The 12,006-nt window shown below is 41.6% G+C and overlaps 1 protein-coding gene and 1 long non-coding RNA gene across 8 annotated transcripts in view; one reads left to right on the forward strand and one right to left on the reverse strand.

The window, feature by feature from the left end:
* Window positions 1-6,808, forward strand: part of ASTN2-AS1 (ASTN2 antisense RNA 1) — a 58,011-nt gene extending 51,203 nt beyond the window's left edge. The window contains exons 11-12 of the long non-coding RNA NR_033973.1: window positions 2,122-2,165; window positions 6,514-6,808. This is a non-coding gene — a long non-coding RNA (ASTN2 antisense RNA 1). The remainder of the gene's footprint in view (window positions 1-2,121; window positions 2,166-6,513) is intronic.
* ASTN2 (astrotactin 2) overlaps window positions 1-12,006 on the reverse strand; it is a 991,946-nt gene that overhangs the window by 132,374 nt on the left and 847,566 nt on the right. The gene's annotated exons all lie outside the window — the stretch shown is intronic.

The following is a 12,006-nucleotide window of genomic DNA, read 5'->3' on the forward strand; positions in this document are numbered from 1 at the left end:
TGAATGGGAATGGGCTTTCCTCTCCCGACTCTGTGCGGTCCACCTCCCCACCCCGTCCCCACCCCAGGCCATCAGAGCTCACAGAAGACCTCTGGCTGAAGCTGACCTCTGGGAAAGCTATTGGATAGTGCTCTGAAGTCACTGACAGAAAGGAGGATATCCCAGCTCTGGAGAAGGAAGGAAAGGATGATGGATTTTTCCATGGATTTAACATTCACTGAACAATAAATGGGGTCAGCTGAACTAAACAAACAAACAAAAAAAACCACACACACACACAACCCTGCATCTGACAGCTGAGTGACAAGAGCTGCTGGCTGTGGACTGAGGATAGGCCTCGGGGTGCAGAGGTGCAGAGAGGGAGAGATAATTATTCAGGATAATTAGCGTCTTGGGTTAGAGGCTGCTAGTTCTGGGATGCACATGTGTGAGTATACTGACCCATCATTTGCATGCATCATCAACTCACAGCATGGCAGCACCAGACTGGGCAAAAATAATTGGCATTCATCCATCCAATCCTCTCTTCAACAGCACTGCATTCAACACTTACCATGTACATGGCTCTGTGCTATGTACTGAGGATACAGTGGAGAACAGTTCAGACACTGTCCCTGCCCTCCACGTACTTCATCTTCCAGCAGGAAAGATAAAAATATGAATAAATAATTGGAATGAAGCACGAGGAGTGCTCTGAGTTGAGTGCTCAAGTCCTACCTCACCTTTGGTAAAAAGCTTCCAAGAGACTGGGAAAATTTTATTTATACTTCTTTGTCTTGAGTTTCCTCACTGGTGACAAAAGTTGGGGTGGAGGAGAGGTCCTACATCCATGGTTTTTAAGCTGTAGGGCTCTTTAAAAGTGCCCAGAGGGCTGGACATGGTAGCTCATCCCAGCCCTTTGGGAGGCTGAGGTGAGAGGATTGCTTGAGACCAGGAGTTTGAGCAGCCTGGGCAACACAGCCAGACTCCACTTAATTTTTCGTAAATAATTAAATAAAATAAAAGTCCCCAGAGGCTGTTGAGAAGGAGGCTTCAACCAGATCTCTAAGCCACCTGTTTTTATTTTGTTTCATACATCGGAATTTTCTAAAATTGTGTTGGAACAAACAGTTCTGCTGAAATAGAGAGAGAGAAAGTGAAAAGAGGTTGACAATGACTCAATTTGACGATGACCAATATTCCTTCTAGCTCTAGCTTTCTAAGACTTTAGTGACCCTAATGTCCCTAAGTTTAACCCCATAACTCTTTTATAAGCAAATATAAATCTATGACCAGACCCACATATTGAAGTAATTTTCTACCCACTTTATCCACTTGTTTTTCTGTAAACACCTAGAAAGCTGAAGTCATTAGTATATATGTACGCACACACATATATGTGTACATTATATTATTTATGTAGAATACATAGATACAGAAAAAATGTAGATGGAGAGGTATGTTAATATGTTTACTACTGGGTTTAACTAAGTGTTGTTAAACTCCATGATATATTGGGAGGCCGAGGCAGGTGGACCACGAGGTTAGGAGATCGAGACCATCTGGCTAACATGGTGAAACCCCGCCTCTACTAAAAAAATACAAAAATATTAGCCGGGCGTGGTGGCGGGTGCCTGTAGTCCCAGCTACTCGGGAGGCTGAGGCAGGAGAATGGCGTGAACCTGGGAGGTGGAACTTGCAGTGAGCTGATATCATGCCACTGTGCTCCAGCCTGGGCAACAGAGCGAGACTCTGTCTCAAAAAAAAAAAAAAAAAAAAAAAAAAGAAAAGAAAAAATTCAGTGATATAGTGGTTAAAAGTACAGAATTTTGAGAGTACATCACTACAACTTCCTAGATATGTTATTTGGGAGAACATATTTAATTTTTCTATATCTCAGTCTCTTTTTTGTAAAATGGGAAGAGAGATGCCTAACTTTTCAGTATTCTTGAGTTAAATGAAAGTGTCTAATTTTTGCAGTATTCTTGGATTAAATGAAAGTATTTATAGCACACAGCATGATATGTAGCAGGTAATAGAAGCCTATAAATAATATTTCCCTTCCCTTTTATGGCCCTTCCTAAATGCCAAGAGATGGATGGCCACGAGTTTCTTTATGTGTCCTTCTTGCTCTCAATTTAGATGGAGACATGGCTGCTTGGAAATTGTCCTTAAAGGAACCACAGGTTGGTACAGAAGTGAAAGTACTATAATTTGGAAGATCTTCAAAAAAACTCTTTTGACATTGTGGCATGTAATTTCCATACCTTTTTCCTACGTGTATATAAAGAATGTAATATCTTCTGTCTTTGAGCAATTATAAACCCTCAGGATGAAAGAGGCAGAGTGATAGTACAAACAAATAAAACTTCATAACAAACAAGCAAACATAGACCTCTCATGTGGTTCTTGGGGTTTTCAACAGCTCTGAACTTGCATTTGCTTCAAGCACTGCCCAGTTCTAAGAGACTGTAATTGAATATACATTGTTCGATTTTTGTTTTTTGCACTAGTCCCATTACAGAGCTATAAGCATAGAAATAGAATGACCATGTCCACCCTGTTGATCAGTCTTTTCTTTCAGCAAATGAGTACTGTGATCCCACTATGGACCATATCCTATATCATGGGTGCTGAGATGAAGGGCAGAGTCCCTGTCCACACAGTACTCTCAGACTAATGTCAGCACACAGCCCCCACCCCATCTTGAGTCCCAAAATTCAGCTGTGATGTTGCAGACAAGCTGGAGACTTTCAGATAAGATAACAATACAAACAGCAGCAGTAGTAGCAGCTTCTACTTAGGAGGGCTTACTAATATGACAGAATCTACTCTAGACCCTTTACATTTTCTGTCTCTGATTCTCTCCATACCTCTGCAAGACAAGTATGGTCACTACTTTTTTTTTTTTTAACTGCACTGAAGAGAAAAAGAAAAAAGTGATTTGCTTAAGGTAGTGCAGTCAGTGAGTGACTGAGCCAGAATTACATAACAGGGTTCCCTTTTCCTCTGGGGACCAAGAGAGCTTATGGAAGGACATGGGCCATTTCTCAGCAAGATGACACTGCACAGCCACAGGCCAATGACTTGGCATTGCTTTGGCCCAGGAAGTTCAACTCAGAGAAGTAGACTCAAGCAGCCCAGGAATTTTAGGTCCGGAAAAGTCATGTTTCCTCAGAGATGCTTGCTTTTGTCAAGCCACGGGTTCTGACAGGGCTATATTCTCAGACCATTCAGCTCATCCTCAATCTTTAGTACCTACCAGACACAAGGTTCACCCATCTTGATACAGTGAGACACAGAAGAAAAAGCCAGGGCTTGAGTTTGTCTGAGCCTCAGTTTCCTCAGATGTAAAAAGGATATGAGAATATACCCTTCTACACAAGAATGATGTGATAACGAAATAAATTATCTAAATGGCCTGGCACATGGTAGATACTTAAGAAATGCTCATTCTCGTTCATTTAATATTTATTGAGTGTCTACTATGAGCCAGTCACTCTTGTTGGTGCTTAGAACATACCAGTCAGCAAAACATGCAACAGATTGTTGCCTTTATGCAGATTACATTCAAGGGTAGGGAAGCAGTTCTTACCCGACTCTACTTTATGTGCTTCCTTGCCAGGCAATGACAAAGGAACTTGCCTCCTGGTGAAGCCTACAACCTGTGGGACTGGAGGAGATCTCCCCTCCTCTTCCATATGTGTTAAATGTTGCAATCAGAAAGACCCTTGGAAACTCCACTCTGGGGCATTTGTTACACTGTAAATCCCTTGCCCTAACCTTATTCCGTCCCACAAACCAATTTAGAGAGCTGAGACCTTGGATATCTCATCAGACCAGATGGACGAGAAAATCATCTAGGGAGAGGAAATTCAACAAACATATGCTGAATACATCTCTATGCAGAGTCCTATGCTTCTGGTGCTGAGAAACAGGCTGAAGCACATACACAGTTTATTTCACAACTTATTTGGAAGATAATTCTTTTCTGAATTAAATTATGATCTATGGTCTTTTTTCTTTACTCTCAACTTAGTGTGTTTGTGTATGTACATGTCTAACTGCAGAAGTAGGAAGTATGATGATGGGGATGTTGTCTGTGAATCCAACGAGAATGTTACAAAATATATGGTGTATGCACTGCAGTGCCTTTCTAAAAATCCAAAAAGAAATTCTGAATCCTGATCACATCTAATACCAAGGACTTTGGATAAGGACCTTTAGTACTAATTTCCTTATTTTGCCTGGGAAGCTGAGCTTCAAGGAACCTAAGGAACTTGTCCAAAGTTACACAGCTAATAAGTAACAGAATCAGGATTTGAGCCTGGGAAGTTTGACTTAAGAACCTGTATTTGTGGCCTTTATATTACTCTGCCTTCTTATTCCTTGAACTATTAATATGAGCCAGGAGCATTTTCTTCTTCCTCTTTCTTCTTAGTTTACTCTTCACAACACTCTAAAAGGCACTTACTATTATTGCCGCTTTTTATTGATAAAGAAACAACTGTACAAAGCAATTTTAAGGTCTTGCTGGTTAATAAGTAGCAGTACTCGGATTTGAACCCAGGATGGTCTGGCTGTAATTCTATTATTTGTAACTATTGTACTATACTGCCACAGGCCAGTGAGGTCCCAAGTGGGTTGCAATTAACATTGTAAATGTTAATTGTGTAGTTAACAATGTGTAAATGTGACTTACACATTTCTTTGGCTTATATACATTGCCTCTCTTGCCTCCTTGCAATTCATTCTCCACATAACAGCCCAGTGGCATTTGTAAAGTAAAATCTCATTACATCACTAACTCACTAGCTCCTTCACTCATTCCATAAGCCTTCATGCCAGGCACTTTTCTGGTAACTGCGGAGGCAGTGATTAATAAAATAGTCTTACCCCTTACGGAGCATCAAGCCAGCCAGTCCCCAGATTTCCATTATATTTAGAATAATTCCAAAAACCTTAACATTAGACCCAGTGGATCTGGACTTCCCTATCCTTCCTCCCTCTTCTTCTTGTTCTTCCCCTCTCTCTCTCCTCCCTTCATAGTAACCTTCAATAAGTTTGTCTATCAGTCCATCATTCCAGCTTCCCTCCAGCCTCAAGTCTTTAGCACAAGTGAGCTCTTTCTTCTGGATGGTTCTTCCTTATACATTCATTAGTTTTATAATTCAATTGATGTGTTTGTCTCCTACTAGACTGCAAGTGCCATGTGGTCAGAGCTATGCCATATCCTCTTGACATATCTGTCTTTAACCTCTAGCAAAATGTCTCTGGGACCTGGGAGGCATTCAATAGATATTTTTTGAATAGCTGAAGGCATGAACATTATGTTAGGTGCACAGAATTTAAGTATCAATATTTGTGTCTGGAAGGGAGGTAGAGAGGGAAAATAGTCAGAAAGCTTCTCAGAAAAAGTTAAAGTTATTTAAACTACACATCAAAACTGGTATTTGGCAAAGCAGCCAGGAAAGTTTCCACAAGAACAAAGAAAAATGTACATGTGTTGTTATGCTAGGATGGGGTAGACATAGAGATATCTAGATGAACTCTGGGTTAGTTTGTAAAGATGAAGCTGAGAGAGGGTGTAGGGAAAATAAGGCTGGAGGACTAACATGTTGAGAACCAATGCTTTAAGAGAGAGAGAGTGTGTCCCTGCTTCAAACTCATCCCATGAGCACAAATCGTCCAAACACTCGCACCCAGATTCCCTCTTGCCTAATATCCTCTAATCTGGTATGCATCGTGATGCATTTGGTCATCTTCTTATGTCTGTCTCCCCTGCTATGCTAGAAAGTTCTTGTGAACAATGGCTAGAACTTAATCATCTTAGCCTCCTCAATGCCTTGACTGAAAAGGGCCCTTGGTAGAAGTTCAATAAATCTTCATTAATTTAAATGAAATTCAAGTAGAATAAAATATATTGAGGTAAAATCAGTTATATTTTTCTCATTTCTCCACTATACCAGTTATCATCTTCCACTCCCTAAAGTTTGGCTGGATCATCAGGTGCCAGGTTGAGAAAAGCCATTCCAAATCAACACAAAGGAATTACACAAATTTACACCAAGGAGACAAAGTAGACTACCAAAGAGAAAAACAGAAACAGAGAATGACTTTGAGAAAGACACAAATAAAATGAGAAGGAGAAAACAAGAGTCTCCTTGTCAAAATCTAAAGGAGCCTGTTGGAGTCTCCCACAGCCCCAGGGAGCAAAGATAAAGATCCCATCCCTATGAGTATCAAGCTGCATCTATTACATACCACAACTAATTTAATTGTTACAGCATGAACTGACCTGCCAAACTTTTATTGTTGAGACTATTTGAGAAGGTAGCTATGGAGGGTAAGAAGGAAAGCCATGTCTTTGTCCTCCACTGGCCTGGGACATAGGTGTCCCCTTTTCATTCCCTTGACTTCCTCTCAATTCACACAATTAGGATTCTTCATATTCCTTTAGGAATTCCCTAATGGCCAGGAAAATGTTAAAATGTTGGGTAATTTCTTCTTCCTGAGAAGCCCTTTTCTCCGCAGGCAAGCGGGAGGTAGAAATCAAAACCAGGGTGGCTGCCACAGGCGATGAAGCTAGAGTGAAAGAGGTTGGCTGAGGTTAAACCAAAGAACAGTCCAGAAGATGGGAGAATCCCAACAAATTTTCAGTCAGTATTTCCCAAAGTGGGTTCCTGAAAATTGTTCCTTTAGAAAAAGCATCATAGTCAAGCACATTTAGGAAACTTTCCTTAATTCCCCTCTCTTTGAAATTCACAAGCCCCTTTGACATATTAAAGTTTCTGTAAAGTCAGTGAATAAAGAAACCTGTTTACATTTGATTAACCAACGTTTTTCCAAACTAACTAGTCCCAGAACTGTTTTTATATTCTACGGCTCATATATTAGCATTCCACTGGACTAATGTTCTCCTGTGTGAACTTTGGAGATCAGGTTAAGGAGAGGTGAGCATAACCTTGACAAGTTAAAGCATGCTTCTTGGGCTGGGCACGGTGGCTCACATCTGTAATCCCAGCACTTTGGGAGGCCTAGGCGGGCGGATCACCTGAGGTCAGGAGTTCAAGACCAGCCTGGCCAACATGGCGAAACCCCATCTCTACTAAGAAAAAAAATACAAAAATTAGCAGGGTGCCTGTAATCCCAGTTACTCAGGAGGCTGAGGCAGAAAAATTGCTTGAAACTGGGAGGCAGAGGTTGCAGTGAGCCGAGATCATGCCATTGCACTGCAGCCTGGGTGACAGTGCGAGTGACTGCCTCATTAAAAAAAAAAAAAAAAAAAAAAAAGAATGCTTCTTGGAGAAAGCAAAGGTTATGCGTGATTTTGAAAAATGAAGGATGAAGAGGCACTGATTAAGCTGAAGACAGAGGGAAGGTTCGGAAAGCTCATGTGTTCATTTAACACTGCATTTAATAAATATTCATTCAGTGCCTACTCTGAGCCAGAAAGTATGCTTGGTCTTAAAGACACAGAGGTGACCAAGAGAGGCATAAGCCTTGCCCTCATGGAACTTGCATTCTGCAGGAGAAGAGATGTAAGTAGACCATTGCAGAGTAATTTTTCTATCTGGTATGACAAAAGAGAAGGAGGGTCTAAAGATTAGGTAAGAATTCTCCCAGCCAGGCTGGGTGCGGTGGCTCACACCTGTAATCCCAGCACTTTGGGAGGCCGAGGTGGGCGGATCATAAGGTCAGGAGATAGAGACCATCCTGGCTAACACGGTGAAACCCCGTCTCTATTAAAAATACAAAAAATTAGCCGGGTGCGGGGGTGGGTGCCTATAGTCCCAGCTACTCAGGAGGCTGAGGCAGGAGAATGGTGTGAACCCGGGAGGCAGAGTTTGCAGTGAGCCAAGATCACGCCACTGCACTCCAGCCTGGGTGATAGAGCGAGACTCTGTCTCAAAAAAATAAAAATAAAAATAAAAATAAAAATAAAAATAAAAAAATTATCCCAACAGAATAGCAAGGAAAGAATTTGCAATAGAGAGAACCACATGAACAATGATCTCTTTGTCATCCTCAAACACATCAGACGCGCTTCCATCTCAAGGTCTTGCACTTGCTATTCCCTCTACCTGAGATGCTCTTTGTTCAGGTCTCTCATCTCCTTCCGATCTTTGCTCCAACATTGCCCTTTTCTGACTTACTTATTTAAAACTAGACAGCCCTTTCCCTCATCTAGCATAGTTGTCTTTTTTTCTGCTTTTCTTTTTCTTCTGTATCAATTATCAACATCTGATAAAATATTTATTTTGTACTTTTTTCCTTTTCCTGTCTCCCTTTCCTTCTAGAATCATCTTTTAGAGCTGAGTGAATGGTGTCTCTGGATTGCATCTGCAACCTGACGTTCCAGAATGCTGGCTCCATGAAGACAAGGAGTTTTCTCTCTTTGGTTAACTGCTGATACCAGTGCCTGGTACATAGTAAGAACTCAATAGATATTTGTTGAATAACTGAATTGGTAAGCAGATAAAAAGCATGGGAGATTTTAAGGACAAAGAAGAGAGGTAGAGGACAAGCATTTATATACCATAAACTCTTTGCAAAGCACATGGATTACAGAACTAGTTTAAGATTGATATTTTGTCTATTTTACAGTTGAGTAAGTGGAAGCTCAGAATGGTAAAGTGACTAACCCAGTGCCACACATCAAATAAGTAGAGAAGTCCAGAGTCGAACCTAAACCTGATTCAAATAGTTAAAATGACATAGGCCTGATTAACTTTTAGTGATCTCAGGTGGCTCTTTGGGTCTTGCTCTTCCATGTTAATGCACTTCTCCCCTGAACTAAACATGTAGCTTTCTGAGGTGGCCCAAAGTGCATGGAACTGATTGCCTCCCAGTCATGGGATGGATAAATGATGGCATGGCAACCCTTGGGGCTGGAGATGACTCAGCAGACCAGAGCTGGAAAAAGAGCCCACCTCTCCCCACCCTAAACATCTCATTCATTCTCTAATGTCAGGTGCCTTGCTACCCCCATGCTGGGACAGTTAATAGCTCACCCAATAAACGGGTGTGTAACAAAGTCTACTGCAAGGCCATCGTTACTTGCAGTATCAAGTAATGATACTTGCATCAACTTTGGCTGATCTCTGTGCTGGCCACATGATTAATTCCAACTGGTTGTTGTCCCCTGCCTGGGGTCATTCAGAAATCCTTCACTTCTTGGCTGATAGTCTACAGATTCCCAGTGCTTGTGAAAGGATTCGAGAGTTTTCTTCCTCCCTCCCATTCTTCTTTCCTTCATTACTTCATTTATTTATTTTTTCATATAGTCATATATAGATCTAGTTATTCATTCATTCATGGATTCATTTATTCATTAATTAATTTACTCAAATATTTCTATGATACTAATTTATAATCTGTATTCATTCATAAATGCATACACAGATTCAGTTTCTTAATCAACTCAGGTATTGTAAGGGATATGATGAGAGTTATCTCATCTTGGAGAAATCACTTAACTCCTCTAAGCATCATTGTCCAATTGAAGGAGGTAGACTTAGAGTACAAACCTAAGCCAGCTAGAACCAAACGCCTCATTCAACTCAATAATTCCTTGAGTTTAAGATATGTAAGACACAACACTGCCTTACAATATTTTCTAGTCTATTTCATATATTTTCCATCCCAACCTAGTGTGATTCATATGTTTTCCATCCCAACCTAGTATACACATGCATGTATATATGACTGAAATGCAAGCTTTATGAAAAAATCCTTAGGCTTGCCACAAACACACACACACACACACACACACACACACACACACACACACATATGCCCCATACTGAGGAGATTAACAAGTAAACAAATACATTCAGGATAATGTATGTATAATACATTCAGGATAATGTTTTTAAGACACTGTTTCTCTCTCTCTCTCTCTCTCTCTCTCTCTCTCTCTCCATATATATATATATATATATATATATATATATATATATATATTTATTTATTTATTTTGAGACAGTGTCTCACTTCATCACCCAGGCTGGAGTGCAGTAGTGTGATATCGGCTCACTGCAACCTCCAGTCACACCCTTCCCTCCACCTGCCCACCCATTCCCACCCCGGACCCCAAGCTCAAGTGATCTTCCCACCTCAGCCTCAGTCTCCTGAGTAACTGGGACCATGGGCACACACCACCATGTGGCCTGGCTATTTTTTTGTTTGTATTTTTAGCAGAGACAGGGTCTCGCCATGTTGTCCAGGCTGGTCTTGAACTCCTGGACTCAAGAGATCCACCTGTCTCAGCCTCCCAAAGGGCTGGGATTACAGGCATGAGCCACCACACTCAGCCTACATCCTATTTTCTTTTTTTAAATGTTGGCTCCAATCCAATAAGTTGACTTTACAACCTACTAATGGATTATGACCTGAAGTTAGAAAACTATGGTGTAGAAGATCTAGAGAGAGACCTTCGATTACAAGTACATATAACACAAGCTGGATACTTGGATACTGTTTTAGACTCTTCACTCATCTTCCACATCCAGCAGCCTTCTACATGTGTAAGCTCTGTCTCTTACATAGCCCTCCAGTCCATCCTCCAAGCTGCAGCCAGTGATCATTCTAAAATATGCCTCTGATGGAAAGTCTGTAATAGTCTTCACTTGTCTACACTATAAAAGAAAAAAACAATAAATGCATCTAATTCCTTAGTCTTGTCTGGCCTTGATTTCTCCTCCAGGGTCATTTCTCACTAATTCTGCTTTTGTATCTCATGTTGAATCAATGTTGAGTCATGCACAAGTCCTTGAATCTTTCATGTTCTTTCATATGTTGGGCCTTTGCTTTTGAAGATTTTTCTGCCTGGAATTCCCATTTCACCCAATACTGGGCTCATTCCAGGATCAGCTCAATCCTTTGTTTTTCTATGTAGCCTTTACTGACAGCCTCCTTAGCCATCATCCCCTTACTTTTCACATTATCCTGAATATATCTGTTTACTTGTTAATCTCCTCTGTATGGGGCCCATAAGGTCCAGAACTTTATTAATGGAAATTTCTCCATCCCCAGGACTCAGAACAGTGTTTCACATAGGTTAGGTGCTTAGAAAATATTTCTAAAGGTATATGTAGTGACCTGGATCAACAGGATTTGATGTGTCAATACCTGCAGCGGAATTGATTCACCATGCGGAAATCCAATGGCAGGGGGCTTAACTAATCAAGAGCCCTAGTCTGAGTACTCTGAATTTTAACCCTGCATCTGCACTGAGGACACACTTCCTACAGGCTGTTCCTAGCCAACGACTGGGCATAGCAGGGATACTAAGGCAAGCCCATTCTGGGAGATACAGGAATCCTCAGATGGCAGACTGTCTTGAGGATTCCCTTAGGCTGGGCAGCAGCCTGGGATGCTTCTGCACAGCCTTCCTTCCCACTCTCCTTCACACAGGGTCAGACTCCCCCCAACCTGATGGCTCCCACCCAGCCTTCACAGCAAACTCCCATCTTCTCTCACATAGGCCTTTCCCTTAATACAATCCTTTGATGTTTTATCCCATCTCAGCATCTGCTTCTCAGAGGATCCAAGCTAACACACTATCCTCAATGTACATATGAAGGAACCAAGGCTGAGAGAGGTCATGTGACTTGTGAACAATTGATAAGACTGAGGTTCAGTTGAGTGCTGGTAAATGTTTAACAACTTGGCTCTCTGTGGGAAGAGAGGAAAAGTGCCGATTCATAGCACTGGCTGATTTCCAACATATAAATACTTCCACCCTGGCCAATTTCACACTACCACTGTGATTTACCTGAACGTGGACTTGGGAAGATATGTGTGCAGTTGTCCTCAGGAGCCAGACAAGCTGGCTGTAGTGCACCTCTGTGAGGCTGCAAGCCTAGGCTTCTGTCTCTCTGGGTGGCACCCTTGACAGCCCTCCCCAGTTTTTCCCCACTGAGTGCTCTTCTCAGTTGGCGGGGTGGGGCGCCAACAGCCTATTCTGGGAAGTCTCTGTCCAGTCAGTGGGCTGGAAACCTTGTGGACATGCAGCTTCTCCCT

The sequence above is a fragment of the Homo sapiens genome, chromosome 9 (genome assembly GCF_000001405.40).
Source record: "Homo sapiens chromosome 9, GRCh38.p14 Primary Assembly".
Lineage (NCBI taxonomy): Eukaryota > Metazoa > Chordata > Mammalia > Primates > Hominidae > Homo > Homo sapiens.